General features: G+C 36.0%; 1 protein-coding gene across 1 annotated transcript in view; it reads right to left on the reverse strand.

The window, feature by feature from the left end:
- Nucleotides 1-7,387: 7,387 nt before the first annotated feature.
- SERINC1 (serine incorporator 1) overlaps nt 7,388-17,753 on the reverse strand; it is a 28,457-nt gene continuing 18,091 nt past the window's right edge. Inside the window, exons 6-10 of the mRNA NM_020755.4 lie at nt 15,925-16,094; nt 15,701-15,791; nt 11,158-11,302; nt 10,811-11,041; nt 7,388-9,216 (exon numbers count right to left, since the gene is read on the reverse strand). Coding sequence (NP_065806.1) covers nt 9,081-9,216; nt 10,811-11,041; nt 11,158-11,302; nt 15,701-15,791; nt 15,925-16,094 — 773 coding nt within the window. The 3' untranslated portion in view covers nt 7,388-9,080. The remainder of the gene's footprint in view (nt 9,217-10,810; nt 11,042-11,157; nt 11,303-15,700; nt 15,792-15,924; nt 16,095-17,753) is intronic.

Consider the following 17,753-nt stretch of genomic DNA (forward strand, 5'->3'; position numbering starts at 1 on the left):
AGACTCTGTCTCAAAAAAAAAAAAAAAAAAGGATGCCTTGTCCTGAGGCCTGAGGCACCGTTTCAGCCAGATCAGTTTTAGGAAAGAACACACATAGGAATGAAAGATGTGGTTTCTTTAAAAAACAATCTAGCTTGTGTGTACCAGAGGAAGTCTGCCTGTACTATCTGGGAAACTAGTACCACAGTGTGAAGACAGTGTAGGGGGTACCCCTCATTATCCCACTTCCAGCTTTTTTTTTTTTTTTGTCTTAGGGAGATAGAACTAGGACCATAAAAGCTTGCGAATTACAGACAGCTAAATGTTCTTTTAGGTTGTGTCAGTATGTGTTTGATTACAGATGGCATAATCAGGAATCTAGAGCTTCAGATGTGAGAAGAATGGTCTGCGACTGGAAAAATACCAAAATGACATTCACTATGACTTAACGTATATAAAAGGTCACGTTCAAGACTTAGAGCCTAAACCTTCATTTCAAGCACACATGAAGTATTTTTCGAGAATCAATATAGCATAGTAGGTCATAAAGTAAGTCAACAAACTTCTAAGAATTGGTATCAAACAGACTAACCACAATGCAAATAAGCTAGAAACCAGAAGAACCATTTTGAGCTTCTTTAACATTTCTGGAAATTGGAAAAGAACTGCTAAACTTTGGGGCCAAACAAAAAATGTTGGAAATACTGATGTTAATGATTAAAAAAAAAGAAAAGTACATGCCCAGATTTATGAGATGCAGTTTAAGTGATATCTAGAGGGGAAATCTATTCTTAAGTGCCTTTTTAAGAAAGGAATAAAAACAAAATGAGTGGACAAAAACCAAGTAAAATAAGCCAGAACTTGTTTATTGAAAAAGCACTAAAACAAAATATTTTGGTAAGATCGAGCAAGAAGACACAAATAGAGAATGGAAAAATGAAAATTTTATAAACGCAGTTGAAATTTGAAAATGTGAGGATATTATGAACAATTCATTTGAAAACTGACAAAATACACAAATTACTACGAGTATTTTACTCAAACTAATTGAAGATAGACATGTAATCCCACAGCTCCTAAATAGTTTCAGTAATTAAAAATTTCCCCCAAAGAAAAGCCTTTTATAGTAAGTTCCACTAACCTGTTCCATATGGTACCAATTCTTAATCTAACAGTTAACAGTTCATTCAAAATAATGGCAACAATGTATTTGATTTTGTACACATATATTTTTGTGTGTGTGTGTGTGTGTGTGTGTGTATAGTCGTCATACTTAGGGGTGCTTATATATAAGTGGAATGACAGCAATGATACATGGGATAGGAAAGAGAAATTAGGATTATTTTGTTACTATAAGGTACACTGCCCAAGAAGCAGTATATTATTATTTGAAAGAGGGGTTGCATTATTTGTAAATCTATACTGCAAACACAAGGGCAACCACAAGAAAACCACGCTAGAAGAGAGAATAATAAAATGCCAAATTAACACCATCAAAGGCACAAGACGAATGGAAGACAAAAATAGGAATAAAGAACAAGGTTAACAAATAGAAAACAGTAACATTATGGTAGATGTTTATCCAAATATATAAATACTTTGAATGTCAAGGGTGTAAATGTACCAATTAAAAGATAGATTATTATATGGAAAAACTGGGCCAGTTTAAAAAAGAAAAAATTGTCAAAGCAGGATCAAAGAACAAAACCCAATTATATGTTGGTTACAAGCAACCCACTTGAAATGTAAAGAGACATACAAATTAAAGAGAGAAAAATATGCCAGGCTAACACTAACCAAAATGAAGAAACAGGTATATTATAGAATAGCAGACTATACAGCAAGAATTACTATCAGGGATAATGATGAAAGGGGTCCATTCTCCAAGAAGACATGACTATCCTTAACATGTATGCACCCAAGAACAGAGGATCAGGATACATGAGGCAAAAACTGATAGAACTGCAGGGAGAATGATATAGTTTGGAAGTTGACCCCTCTAACTCTCTTGTTGAATTGTAATTTCCAGTGCTGGAGGTGGAACCTGGTAGGAGGTGACTGCATCATTGGTGCAGATTTCTCATGAATGGTTTAGCCCCATCCACTTGATGCTGTCCTTGTGATGGTGCGTGCTCATGAGGTTTGCCTGTTTACAAGTATATGGCTTCTTCCTTCACTCTCTCTTACTCTTGATTCTCACTATGTGAGACATCGGGTTCCTTTGCCTTCCACCATGATTGTAAGCTTTCCGAGGCCTCACCAGAAGCTGAGCAGATGCCTGGGACTGTGCTGCTTGTACAGCCTATAGAACCATAAGCCAATTAAGCTTCTTTATATATTACCCAGCCTCAGGTATTTTTTGCAATATAAGGATGGCCTGCCACAGAAAATTGGTACTGAGGAGTGGAGCATTGCTATATAGCTACTTGAAAAGCCAGAGTCTCTTCCTCCAAACAACCACCCTAGTGCCCCAGCAAGGGTTCTTAACCAGGCTGAAATGGCTGAAATGACAGAAGTAGAATTCAGAATATGGATAGGAACAAAAATCATCGAGATTCAGGAGAAAAGTCAAAACCCAATCCAAGAAATCTAAGGATTACAATAAAATGATACAGAAGCTGATAGATGAAATGGGCATTATAAGAAAGAACCAAACTGATCTGATAGAGCTGAAAAAGACACTACAAGAATTTCATAATGCAATCACGAGTATTACCAGCAGAATAGACCAAGCTGAGAAAAGAATCTCAGAGCTCAAAGATTGGCTCACTGAACTAAAACAAAAAGAATGAACAAAACCTCCAAGAAATAGGGGATTATGTAAAGGAAACCAAAGGGGAAGAAAGCAAGCAACGTGGAAAACATATTTCAGGATATTGTTCATGAAATTTCCCCAACCTCACTAGAATGGCCAACATTCAAACTGAGGAAATGCCCTGGGAGATACTTCACAAGAAGACCATACCTGAGGCACATAGGCATAAGATTTTCCAAGGTTGAAATGAAAGAAAAAAATGTAAAAGCAGCCATAGAGAAGGGGCTGCCCAGCCTTGGGACACTGCTCAGCTCTAAAGGGCCCAAGTAAGGCATGGGGTGCCACTTGTGCAGGGCACAAGCCATAAGCCTTGGTGGCTAACACGTGTTGTTAAGCCTGCAGGTGTGGAGAGTGCAAGGGTGAAGGAGGTTTGGCAACCTCCACCTAGATTTCAGAGGATGTATGAGAAAGCCTGAGTAACCAGGCAGAAGCCTGCTGCAGAGATGGAGCCCTCACAGAGAACCTCTACTAAGCCAGTATGGGGGGGAAATGTGGGGTTGGAGGCCCAACAGAGTCCCCACTGGGGTGCTCCTCAGAGAGCTGGGGGAAGGGGGCCACTGTCTTCCAGACCCCAAAATGGTTGATCCTCCAATAGCTTGCACTCTGTGCCTGGAAAAGCTGCAAGCACTAAACTCCAACCCTTTACCCTGCAAAGTCACAGAGGCAGAGCTTCCCAAGGCTTTGGGAGCCCACTCCTTATACCAATGTGCTCTTGTGAGGCACAAGGTAAGACATGGAGTCAAAGAAGGTTATTTGGGATATTTAAAAAAAGACTGCACTGCTGTATTTCAGACTTGGATGGGGCCTGCAGCCTCTTTTGGCTAATTTCTCTTGTTTGGAATGGTAATATTTATCCAATATCTGCACCCCCATTGTATCTTGGGAGTAAATACCTTGTTTGGATTTTAAAGGCTTATAGGTGGAAGAGACCTGCCTTGTCTCAGAAGGCCTTTGTACTTTTGAATGATGCTGGAATTAGTTAAGATTTTTGGGAGAATATTGGCAGAGGACGATTGTATTTTGCAATGTGAGAATATGAGATTTGAGATGCTGGGGCAGAATGATACAGTTTGCATGTGGTCTCCTCTAAAACTCATGTTGAATTATAATCCCCACTGTTTGTTGGAGGTAGGACATGGTGGGAGATAACTGGATCATTGGGGCAGATTTCTCATCAATGTTTTAGTGCCATCCACTTGGTGCTGTCCTTGTGATAGTGAGTTCTCACAATATCTAGATGCTTAAGTGTAGCATCTTCCCCCTCATTCTCTTCTGCTCTTGCTATGTGAGATGCCAGGTCCCCTGTTGGCTTCTGCCATCATTGCAAGTTACCTGAGGCCTCACCAGAAGCTGAGCAGATGCCTTGCACCATGCTTCTTGTACAACTTGCAGAATTGTGAACCAATTAAACCTTTTTACCTTATAAATTATCCAGTCGCAGGTATTTCTTTATAGCAAATTAGAGAATAGGTTAACACAGAAAAAGTTGAATTCACTATTATAGTTGGAGACTTCAACACTCCTCTATCAGAATGAAGAGATCCATCAAGCAGAAAATCAGGAAGTCAACAGAGAAAATTGATAAAACCAAAAGCTGGTTTTTGAAAAATTGATAAAATCAGTAAACCTCTGTCAAGCCAGACTGAGAGAGACAAAAATTAATATCAGAGATGAAAGAGGGGATATCACTGTAAATCCCATGGACGTAACAAAGGTAATAAAGGAGTATCACAATTGTATGCCTACAAATTTGATAACCTACATGACGAAGAAGTCCTTGAAACACAACCTGCCAAAACTCACACCAGAAGAAATAGATACTCCAAATAACACCTGTATCTATTTTAAAAATTGAATCTATTGCCTTCCCAAACAGAAAATGCTAGACTGAGGTGGGTTCACTGGTGAATTCTAAAAACGATACCAATTCTGTAGAAACTCTTTCAGAAGGTAGAAGCAGAGGGAATTCTTCCCAACTCATTCTATGAGGCCTAAAACCAAAACCAGACAAAAATATCACGAGAAAACTACAAACCAGTGTCTTTAATTAACATAGATGTAAAAATCCTCAATAAAGTATTAGCAAATCCAATTCAACAATGTATAAGAATTATACACCAGGATCAAGAGGGATTCATCCCAGATACGCAAGGCTGGTTCAGATATTGAAAATGAACTAATAGAATCTATCACATAAAGAAACTCAAGAAAAATCATATGATCACATCAATAGATCCAGAAAAATATGACAAAATCCAAAACCCATTCATGATAAAAATTTTCCATAAACTAGACCAGGCGCAGTGGCTCATGCTTGTAATCCTAGCACTTTAGGAGGCTGAAGCAAGCAGATCACTTGAGGTCAGGAGTTCAAGACCAGCCTGGCCAACATGGTGAAACCCTGTCTCTACTAAAAATACAAAAAATTAGCTGGGCTTGGTGGCAGGCGCCTGTAATCCCAGCTACTCGGGGGGCTGTGGCAGAATTGGTTGAACCCAGGAGGCGGAGGTTGCAGCGAGCCGAGATTGCGCCACTGCACTCCAGCCTGGGTGAGAGTGAGACCCCGTCTCAAAAAAAAAAAAAAAAAAAAATTCTCCAATTCTCCATAAAAAAGGAATGGAGGGGAACTTTCTCAACCTGGTAAGGAATATTTACCAAAGATCCCCAACCAGTAACATCATATTTAATGGTGAGAAATTTAGCAGTTTTCCTACTAAGGAGGAAGGCAAAGATGTTTCTTTTCACTATTTCTTTTCAACATCCTAATGGAAGTCCTGGTTAATGCAATAAAACAAGAAAAGGAAATAAAAAGTACACTACTTGGGAAAGGACATATAACATTAACATTGTCTCTGCTAGCTGATGACATGATCATTCATGTAGAAAATCCAAAAGAATTGATTACAAATCTCCTGGAACCTATATGCAATTACAGCAAGGTTGCAGGATACAAGGTTATTATATGAAAGTAAACTGCTTTCTTATGTAACAGTAATAACTCAAATTTGAAATTAAAACCCAATGCCATTTATATTAGCACCCCAAAATGAAATATTTAGGTAAAAATTAAGAAAATATACATAAGATCTACATGAGAACTACAGACCTGATTAAAGAAATCAAAGACCCAAATAAATGGAGAGATATTTCATATTCATGGATAGGAAGACTCAATATTGTCAACATGTCAGTTCTTCCCAACCTGATCTATAGATTCAATGTAATCCCAATCATAATCCCAGCAATATTTTGTGGATATTTGATAAACTGATTTTAAAGTTTATATGCAGAGGCAAACAACCTGGAATAGCAAACACAATATTGAAGGAGAAAACCAACACTGAAGGAGGAATGATTGATAGCACTCATCCTCAAGATTTAATATAAAGCTATAATAAGATAGTGTGGTATTGGCAAAAGAATAGACAAATGATCAATGAAACAGAACAGAGTTTAGAAACAGACTCATATTTAGTCAACTGATACCTAGCGAAAGGACAAAGGCAATACAATGTAGTAAAAATAGTCTTTTTGACAAATGATGCTGGAATAACTGGACATCCACATGCAAAAAAAAGAATCTAGACACAGACTTTCCACCCTTCACAAAAATTAACTCAAATGGATCACAGAACTGAATGTAAAAGTATACAACTCCTAAAAGAAAACATAGAAGGAAATTTAGATGGTCCTCTCTTTGACAGTGGCATTTTAGATACAACACCAAAGGCATAGTTCATGATCCACAAAGGTCTCTCCCCTCCCATCTCTGACCCCAAACAACCATTAATCTGTTCTCCATTTCTATAACTGTATCATTACATGAATGCTATATAAATGGAATTATATGTGATCTTTGGGGACTGGATTTCTTTAAAACCCAGCATTCATGTTGTTGCATGTACTAATGGTTCATTCCTTTTTTAAGTAGTATTCTATGGTATAGGTTTACTGGTGTGTTTTTTCATTCATCTATTGAAGGACATCTGGGTTTCCAGTTTTGTCTGTTACAAATAAAGCTGTTATGAACATTTATGTGCAGGTTTTTATGTGAACATAAGATTTTATCTGGGATAAACAGTCAATACTTTTATGGGCATTGTGCTGCTGATAATGTTGGAGAAAGACCACTTCACAAGAATTATGGAATAAAATATACTAAAGCTTGGTAACTAACATGAGTTGGAGTATTTTATCAGTAAAAGTACATTCTTTTTTAGTAAGGGAAATTTTTATACTATCTGAAGTATCTGTGGAAGAAGACAAGCATCAAAACTGGCAACCAGAAAAAATAGCTGGAAGACATAGTAGATGTAGAATATCCACTGAAAATATATTAATATTCTCCAAACTAAACTGATCCATATACTGAAGACTCTTTAGGGGAAGAATGCCTCTTTACCTTTGAGATCCTACTTCTGGGGTCACTTACAGACAACCAAAGGGTAACAATCTCCTAAGCAATTTAATTATCATTACAGAAAACAGGCAGTTACTTTCTAGTGCCAGGTCCTTTTTCACATAGGAAGAAAGGTCTAAATGTTATTATGGCCACCTAAAGTTAAGCTGCTAAATAATCAGTACACTACACACTTTCTCTGAATTCATTTATTTAGAGGTAAAACACAGCCATTCAAAATTGTGGAATACAATGTCTACACACAGAATAAGGTTGGGGAATTAAGCTGAATTGTTATATTCCATTCACATTAATAAATATTTTTAAAGAAGAAATTGTAGATTTTAAAAGCTTCATTAGACACTAGTGACACATACAAATAACTAAACTCTCATACTGCTTGATTTTCAGGTTGAAAGGTTACAATAATCTATATATTTCAATTACATGGCAGTAAATACAAAAGCATTTTAAACATCTTTTGAACTGTGTAGTATACTATAAGCAGGAGTTTATTCTAAAACATTCCATCATTCTTCTGACCTGTTTATGGGTCATGCTGGACACCAGCAATCCACATCACATAAATTATCCACCAGTAATGAGGTGTAAAATCAATTATGCATGTATTTTGAATAGAAATTATTTTTAAATGTCAGAGAGAATGCTATTATTGGCCAACTTGAAATTTCCTAATTAGCTATCTGAGCTATTTAAGTCTGTATTTCAGTGTCTTCATTTTTTTAAATGAGAGAACTGGACTAGATTTTATATAAGTACCTACTAAAGCCTAGTGTTTTGCAGTTACTTCCTTCCCTGTCAAAATTTTGCCTCCTTTGATTTTCAATATATATATATTTTTTTGTCTTACTCTGTTGCCCAGGCTAGAGTGCAGTGACGTGACCTTGGCTCACTGCAACCTCTGCCTCCTGGGCTCAAGCAATCCTCCCACCTCAGCCTCCTCAGTAGCTGGGACCACAGGCATATGCTACAAAGCCCAGATTATTTTTTATAGAAACAGGGTTTCACCATGTTGCCCAGGCTGGTCTTGAATTCCTGGGCTCAAGTAATCTACCCACCTCAGCCTCCCAAAGTGCTGGGATTACAAGGGTGAGCTACCGTGCTGGCCCAAAACTAACTTTCAAAGTGACTTTCAAACACTTCCTTCTAACCCATGATTATCCTTTTCAAAACCTTGTCTAAATCCTTCAGAGTTCCAAACATTTCCACTGAACCCATACTTCATGAGTTTAAAACAACCAAAACAGTTCACTTTGTTGGCAAAGGCCATCTCTACCCAAGTAAGATTATTTACTCGTTATTCAATTTAGTACCGACACCTCCATCCATAACCTACACTATTGTCCACTAAACACTCCCTACCTGTGTAAATTCCGTATCAAGGGTAAAACCTTATAAGATTTTTCAGACAACTGGCATTTAAGTGACTTGTTTATAAATTTTAAAATAAACCATGTTCTTTGCAGTATCCTGCCAGGCAACACATCAAATATTTCAAAAGGCAGCCATACATTTGCTTTAATGCTTGCTAAAACAGCTTAAGGTCTAATATAATTTTAAAATAGTCAAACAAATTTGTTTTTACTCTTCATTTCACAACTATAGAGCAGAGAATAAGCCCAATAATGGCCACTTTTACTAACTCATCACCATATTCATAAAACTTTCCTCTGCAATTCATTCTACTTCACATATCAATGCACTTGGTAAGAAAATAACAAAATGACAAGCAGTAAAATCTAATTCATGCCAGAACACTGGAGAAGTTACATGGGAAGCAAAAACATACACAACTTTACAAAAGTTGGGAATACTGTTTTCAAATAAGCAATAATCAAAGTGGGACTTTCATGCTAGAAGTCTCACTCAGTCAAAATCACGATTTGTAAGAACAAGTGGTGCCACGAGTGTCCAAACATACAGCACGATGCCAATCCAACTGGAAGAGATTTTCACCCAGACAGCTGTCCACTGACTTTTCATCTCACGAGAGGGTTCATACCTAAAATTTCAGGGAAAATTATTAAAAAGGGGCAAGGGGGTTGAATTATCAGCCACCAAGCTATGAAGCTTCATTAATTCAGAAGCGTGCTTTGTATACAGTTTGTGATTTCAGATATATCATTGCTGCATCTAATCTGCTCCCTTTCTTTCCACACTGCTAGTGTGAAGGTAAAAATCTGTTATTTCCTTTAATGGAGTAAAGTATACAGGCCTCTGAAATAGTTATTTTGCATAATCTCTGAAGCACTTTATGCATGTCTGCCATGTTATTAGACAGAAGAGGAACTGAATGTGACCTCTGGATAAATGAGATGTCACTATTACATAAGATTGTTCAAGATGTATATGGAACTCCTCACCTGATTTCCACTCCCCCAACCCCCTCCCCCGCCCCTCCCTTCTCAGAATTAAGAGACTGGTATGACTCAGAGATATCTCCTTAAAAAAAGAAAGAATTAAGAGACTGGGAAGGAAATATATCTCAAGTTTAAGTGATTTTTGAGTTAATGAAATATACCAAAATCCTTCTGGTATAAAGCCTTAATATCTACTATTATGTGACAGCCAAGGATCTGAGTTAAGAACCAGCTGGTACTCGGGAGGCTGAGGCAGGAGAATGGCGTGAACCTGGGAGACAGCTTGCAGTGAGCTGAGATCAAGCCACTGCACTCCAGCCTGGGTGACAGAGCAAGACTCCATTTCAAAAAAAAAAAAAAAAAGAACCAGCTGGATTCTTATAGCTTAATACGCTACAGTGTAAGAATTAAAAAATATATATACTTTTCAATAATAAAAATCAGTAAAGGCTGCACTCAAAGACATACAACAAAGAATAATCTTTTTCCTCCATCTTTTGCTGATACTGAGAGCCGCCTTACAATTTGTTTATTAATATTATGCATTAAAAAGTTATTAAAAACAGAACTTCCCAAACCACATAGTTCAATTTGAATCTTTGACCAAATCTTTCAGTAATCATTTGGACAAAACCAGAACTTTCAAAAATGAAACACTATAAATCACTATCTTCCTTTTAACAGAAAAAGATTTATGGATTAAGTTTGAAGTGATTAAAAAAAAAAGTAGCTTGTAAGAATTCTAAGCTTGTAGAATTTGTAGAAATTGTTGCTTGTAGAAAGAATTCTAAGCTTGTAAAAATTGTGGCTTGTAAGAATTCTAAGAATCTATCTACATTAATGAATTCATACTTAAATTTAAAAATTTTCAGAGCTTTTAATGACAGTTCAAACAAAAGAGAAAAAAGGATGTATCCTTTACTTCACTATCTTTACAGAATTGAAAAAAAAAATGTTAGATCCACTATCAACATGGATTTTTGTAAAAAGTATTAGTTTCATGAAAATTTTTATTTTAATCTCTCCAAGATTTGGAACTATTTCAATGTTTGTGTTACTGTTAAAGCAAGGAAGTAAAGACTGCATTTCTCATGCTGATCTCACTATTCATTTAGCTGTACATTTTGAAATATATCAGAGGATAAAAAGTACTTCATATCACATCATGGTTTCACAAGAGAATCATAAAATGCCATCAGAATTCACACATCCAGAGTTTTCATGAAATATAAATACCTGTACCAGTTGGTAAGGGTCATCATGATATAAAGTGAAGCCAGGAAAAGCATGAAGTGAAAGAAGGAATAACTGTAAGTGACACCATCCCTTTCATTATCTACAGCTCGGTGAACATCGTCCCCATCCTCCAGTGATCCATCACTTCTAGCTCCACCATCTTCTATTAATGTAGATTCATCACTTGTTAGAGTCAGTTTATTAACCTGACTATTGTTTGAAGTACGGATGCTGTATGAAAGAGAGTTTAGGAGGAGAGAAAAAAAAGAACATTTTTAAAAGAAATGATTCATAAATAAACAGCTAGACTTCTTGTTTAAAGAAAAAAATTCCATAGTTTTTCCTACCTGGAATAAAATACACACAACAAAAAGAGAATTAGTCCTATAATTCCTTGAGCATGCCACCACTGGACTGACTGCCCTTCCTTTGGGACAGTGCTTGTTGTATTGTAGCCAATTATGCTTAGTAGACTTGGGTTGCAATTTGTTTCTGTAATATAAAGCCAAATTAAAATGTTAGAATATATTAAAAAGATGTTTTTCAGAGCAAACAAAAGTTATTTTTAACTCTCTATACCCCTGCAAATTGAGAAACAATTGCTGGAAAAGGCATCAGTATAACAAAAATAATTGAAGAAAACTTGCACTTATTAATAAGACCTTTGAAGTGTTAATAGTTCTGATTTTATAGAAGTACCTGGAAAAGTTAAATCATTTAATTTTCAACAACATGTGATAGCTGAGAGATAATTACCTCTACAATCAGGAAAGAGGTGAAATATAGATGAACTTTCTAAGGTTAGTATAATTCTAGTAGATTTAGAAAGAAAATTCAGAGATTATAAACCACAATGCACTGGCTTTTCTATCATATGTTGAGATTATGATACAGACTTTATGAAGCTTATCAATTTGATACAGCACATTGTTAAAAAACCAAGACAGCTTACACAAAAACCAGTTATAAGGACTCCAGCAAATGCCTCATGGAAATTACCCAATAAAGTATAATGACCTACTGCTTACTCAAGTCTTATTCTTTTATAAAGAAGAAAGTAGGCAAGGTGCGGTGGCTCATGCCTGTAATCCCAGCACTTTGGGAGGCCGAGGCGGGCGGATCACAAGGTCAAGAGATAGAGATCATCCTGGCCAACATGGTGAAACCGCTTCTCTACTAAAAATACAAAAATCAGCTGGGCGTGGTGGCATGTGCCTGTAGTCCCAGCTACTCGGGAGGCTGAGGCAGAAAGACTCGAACCCGGGAGGCGGTTGCAGTGAGCCGAGATCATGCCACTGCATTCCAGCCTAACGACAGAGCGAGACTCTGTCTCAAAAAAAAAAAAAAAAAGTAGGATTGCTAAAATATTCACTAAAGTGTCTAAAATACATATTTTTCTCCTGCAAAGCCAGATCTGTCAAACTCCATCTTACTAATGAAAATGATTCTTACCTTAAAGCCAATTAGGTAAGGCTATTTCCTTCTCTAAAGCAAACTACTAATAATTTTTTTCTAACCACCTACCTGGAAAAAAACAGGAAATCTTTGTGTAATACATCAAAACAAAAAAACAAAAAATAAATTGGTCTCCAAGTTATAAAGTACCTATGATAAAATACCTACAGTTTGTAAACTCAATGAGATTCATATAACATCAGATAAATTTTTTAGGAAAAGAGATCATTTTCTTCTTTTTAATAGGTAATAATTTTTGTCTATTCTAATTTGTCTCCTTTCAACATATGTTTCTATTCTCATGGTATGCAATATAACTAGCCTATAATAAGATGCATTACAAAGCCCAATTATCAAATTCAATTGTAAGGTAGTCACAGGCTAAAAGAGTAATTTAATAATGTGAAAAAATTATACTGTTCACAATTGAATCAACAGGAATTTGAAGAGTTTTTCTTTCTATATACGACAATTATATGCTCTATGCAAATCAGATACCTTTCTTATAATTTCACCCAGTTTCTTACATAGACATACCTTGTTTTACTGTGCTTTGCCTATTTTTTTTTTTTTTTTTTTTTAGCATTTTACAGATACTGTTCTTTTTACAAATTGAAGGTTTGTGGCAACCCTGCATTAAACAAGTCTATTGGTTCCATTTTTTCTAACAGTATGTACTCACTTTGTTTCACATTTTGGTAATTCTTGTAATATTTCACAATTTGTCATTATTATTAATTACATCTGTTATGGTGATCTCTCATCAGTGACCTATTATGTTACTATTGTAATTTCTTTCGGGCACCACAAATCACACCCATATAAGATGGTGAAATAATCGACAAACATTGTGTGTGTTCTGACTGCTCCACCAACCAGCCATTTCCTTGTCTCTATCCCTCTCCTTGGGCCTATTTCAAGACACAACCATATGGAAATTAGGCCAGTTAATAACCCTGCAATGGCCTCTAACTGTTCAAGTAAAAGAGTCCCCTTTCTCACTTAAATCAAAAGCTAGAAATGATTAAGCTTAGTTAAGAAAGCATGCCAAAAGCTGAGACAGGTCAAAAGCTAGGCCTTCTGTTCCAGTTAGCTGAGTTGCGAATGCAAAGAAAAGAAAAAGTTCTTGAAGGATATTAAAAGTGCCACTCCAGTGAACACAAACACACAAATGATAGATAAGAAAGCAAAGCAGTCTTATTGCTGATATGGAGGAGAAAGTTTTAGTGACCTGGATAGAAGATCAAACCAGCAGAGCATTCCCTTAAGCCAAAGCCTAATCCAGAGCAAGGCCCTCTCTCTCACTTCAAGTCTATTAAGATTGAGAGAGAGAAGGAAGCTGTAGAAGAAAAGTTTGAAACTAGATGGGGTTGGTTGTTGAGGTTTAATGAAAGAAACTGTCTCCGTAACATAAAAGTATAAGGTGAACCAGTAAGTGCTGATGCAGAAGCTACAGCAAGTCATCCTAAAAATCTAGCCAACAAAATTAATGAAAGTAGCTACACTGGTCAGGCATGGTTGCTCACGCCTGTAAGTTCAGCACTTTGGGAGGCTGAGGCGGGTGGATCACCTGAGGTCAGGAGTTCGAGAACAGCCTGGCTAACATGGTGAAACCCAATCTCTACTAAAAATACAAAATTAGCTGGGTGTGGTGGCGCAGGCCTGTAATCCCAGCTATTCAGGAGGCTGAGGCAGGAGAATGGCTTACCAAGGAGACAGAAGTTGCAGTGAACGGGGATTGTGCCATTGCACTCCAGCCTGTGCAACAAGAGTGAAACTCCATCTCAAAAAAATAAAAATAAGAAAAAAGAAAGCAGCCAAACCAAACAACAGATTTTCAATAAAGACAACATAGACTTCTATTGTAAGAAGATATAATCTAGGACTTTCATAGCTATAGAGAAGTCAGTCAATGCCTGGCTTCAAAGCTTAAAAGGACAGGCTGATTCTCTTGTTAGGGACTAATGCAGACAATGATTTTAAGAGAAAGCCAATGTTCTTTACCATTCCAAAAATCCTAGGGCCCTTAAGAATTATATTAAGTCTATTCAGCCTCTCTATGAATAGAAAAAAGCCTAGATGACAGCACATCTGTTGAAAGTATGGGTTACGGAATATTTTAAGCCCATTGTTGGGACTTACTGCTAAAAGATCCTTTCAAAATATTACTACTCAATGACGATGCACCTGGGTCACCCAAAAGCTCTGATAGAGATGTACAGGGAGATTAATATTTTCATGTCTGCTAACACAGTATTTATTCTGCAGCCCATGGAAAAAGGAGTAATTTCAACGTTTAAATCTTATTATTTAAGAAATATATTTTGTAAGGCTATAGCTGCCATAGAGTAATTCCTCTGATAGATCTGGGTGGACAAAGTAAACTGAAAACCTTCTGGAAAAGATTCACCATTCTAGATGCTATTAAGAACATTCATGATTCATGGGAAAAAATGTCAAAATATCAACATTAACAGGAGTTTGAAAGAAGTTGATTCTAACCCTCATAGATGACTGAGGATTTCAAGACTTTAGTGGAGGAAGTAGCTACAGATACGGTGGAAAGAGCAAGAGAACTAAAAAGTGGAACCTGAAGATGTGACTGAATTGCTGCAATTTCATTATCAAGCCTGAATGATGAGGTGTTGCTTCTTATGGATGAACAAAGTAGTTTTTTGAGATGGAATTTACTCCTGATGAAGATGCTATGAATATTATTGAAATGACAGCAAAGGAGTTAGAATATTACATAAACTTACTTAATGAACCAGGAGCAGGTTTAAGAGGATTGACTCCAATTTGGAAGGAAATTCTACTCTGGGTCAAATGCTATCAAACAGCATCATATGCTACAGAGAAATATTTTGTGAAAGGAGGAGTCAATCAATGGGCAAACTTCATTGTGGTCTTAGTTTAAAGATACTAAAACAGCCATGCCAACCTGCAGCAACCAACACCCTGTTCGGTCAGCAGCCGTCAACATTGAGGCAAGACCTCCTACCAGCAAAAAGATTACAACTTGATGAAGGCTCAGATGACTGTTAGCATTTTTTGGAAATAAAGTACTTTCAAATTAAGGAATGTACATTGTTTTTCTAGACATAATGCTATGGCACACAACAGACTAGTGTAAGATAAACAAAAGTTTTATATGCACTGGGAAACCAAAAAATCATGCTTTACTGTGATGCTTGTTTCATTGTGGTGCTCTGAAACTGAACTCACAGTTTCTCTTAGGTATACATGTAACCTTCTTATAATTTTGTTAGTGATGGAAGAAACTAAGTGAAATAAATAATACATCAAAGATCAAAACTTTGTACTTTATTCCTCTAGAAGCCTAATTTTTAAGTAATTTAATCTCACAAAAAGACAATTTCTGGAAAAACAACAACTGCAGAACCTTTAGGAACATGTAATATAAATAAAACACACCTGGTTCATTGGTCATAGCTGACCATGTCAAATACATTGTGTAGACTGTAATTACTGAAGACTGTAACAAACCAGATCTTGGTTGTGATTCCTACAAAAAAAAAAAAAAAAAAATATATATATATATATATAGCAACACAGGTAAATAGTCTGACATCATTCTAGATTTTTGAAAACTTAAAAAGGTATAAGCTTCATAAAAACTAATGCTTTAAAGGGCATACTTGGATTTTTGGCAGTATAGACATTACAGAAGCACCAACGCAGAGGAGCATGTTGACACTGATGAACGCCTTGTTTTCTGAACAACTGGCTGGATGAGTGTAGTAGACAAAGAACAGGACGATAGCAACTAAAGACAGCAGATAATTCAGAGCTGTAGCTGATAACAAGGCTGTGAAAGAAATATAATTGGATAATTAGCTTTTTATCAGAAATTATTAGCAATTAGAAATGGGACCTGTTTTATAAACAATCTGTCATTTTGTCAAAAAATATATTTTAAGCAACTAACATTGTCAGCATTATAAAGGCTATAAAAGCAGGAAAGAAAATTAATTCTGACCTTTATTGCTGAAGAATTCTAGTTTTTACACATAGCTATTATGTATTTGCAAGGATGGCAAGTTAGTAAGAAACTAATAGGATTTAATACTAATATCTATATTAGAGTTTACAAACTATGTTTACATGTTAGCCATTATTTTCAAAATAAAGAAAAATAACTATAAGAGGAATATTACTTAAGGTTTTTAAAGAACCATTATCACTCAGTTGTAAACAAGGGCATTAAGAAAATTATTTTCATTATTAATGTTAAGCCCTCACAACAATGATGCTTTTCCTCATGAACTAAAATCTTAAAAGATACATATTATGCAAGGGTAAGTCATTATTTAATAAGTCAACCTATGCTTTTTCTATGTAAATTTCAACATACACAAGTTGTTTAGCCTTTATGCTAATATGTGCCTAATATACAAGTATTTATGTAGATTTGCCTCGCTGACAGGGGATCCATCCAACAAATATTTATTGAATGCCTGCATTCCAGGCCCTGGGGATACAGCAGGGAACAAAAGACACAGAAACCCTTGCATTAGACTTTGCATTTAGAGAACAAGGTATTCAATGTAAGTGAAATTTCCAAATGACTAAAGCTTATTTCTTTGAGCACCAAATTATTTTAACTTGAACCACTGAGATAAAACACCACAAATTAGTTGTGTGAGAGGAATATTAGGCCAGCAGACACACTGGATTTGGCTTGCACTCCAATTTAAAATTTTTTTAGCTGAAACTCAGTCATTTAGCATGAAAATCCAGATTTATGACTTCTTTTGAAAAACATTAGAAAAATCAAGCAATACTAAGTTCACATTCCCACAAGGCAACTAATAAATGGAGCTGAGCAGTAGTAATGCACTTTAGATGGGGCATTCATACTCTCCAATTCATTGTAGTCTATTTGCACAAAGCTTATGCACTTAAACTCTGTCCTCCTGTTCCCTCATTTTTGTTACCTGGTTTGGCCCTGTAAGCATTTGAATTGGGATATCTGTTTTCAAGTATAACCCCAAAGGACTCAACATCATCATTATAAATAATCATTAATTACATTACTATAGGAATTCCTTTAGTTGTTATTGATGCACATAAAAGCATCCTTTGCACTTGAATAAAACATCCGAGTTGCTTTTTATATTTTTTATTTGCTGCTGTTTATGAATTGTATCACTGTGTGTTTATCTATTCCTAGCAATCCTCTTCCCTTTAATATTTTGCTTTTAACCCATTGTAGGCTAGAAAATTAGGCTATAAAGTGCACATGCTTTCAGTAATATGCTTTGGAACATTTATTTTAGCTATTCAGGTTCTTTTGGATTCTTTCCTGGTTCTTGGGTTATGTTCCCAGTTAATCTGCTAAAAGATCTGCTCACCAAGTTGCTGATACAATGTGATATTTTGACACTCACAAAGTTTAAATTAAAAACCTCATCATAGGAAAGTAGACCATAAAAATCCTAAGTGATTTACCTAGTCTACATATCTA

This window comes from Homo sapiens, chromosome 6, assembly GCF_000001405.40.
Source record: "Homo sapiens chromosome 6, GRCh38.p14 Primary Assembly".
NCBI classification, from domain to species: Eukaryota; Metazoa; Chordata; class Mammalia; order Primates; family Hominidae; genus Homo; species Homo sapiens.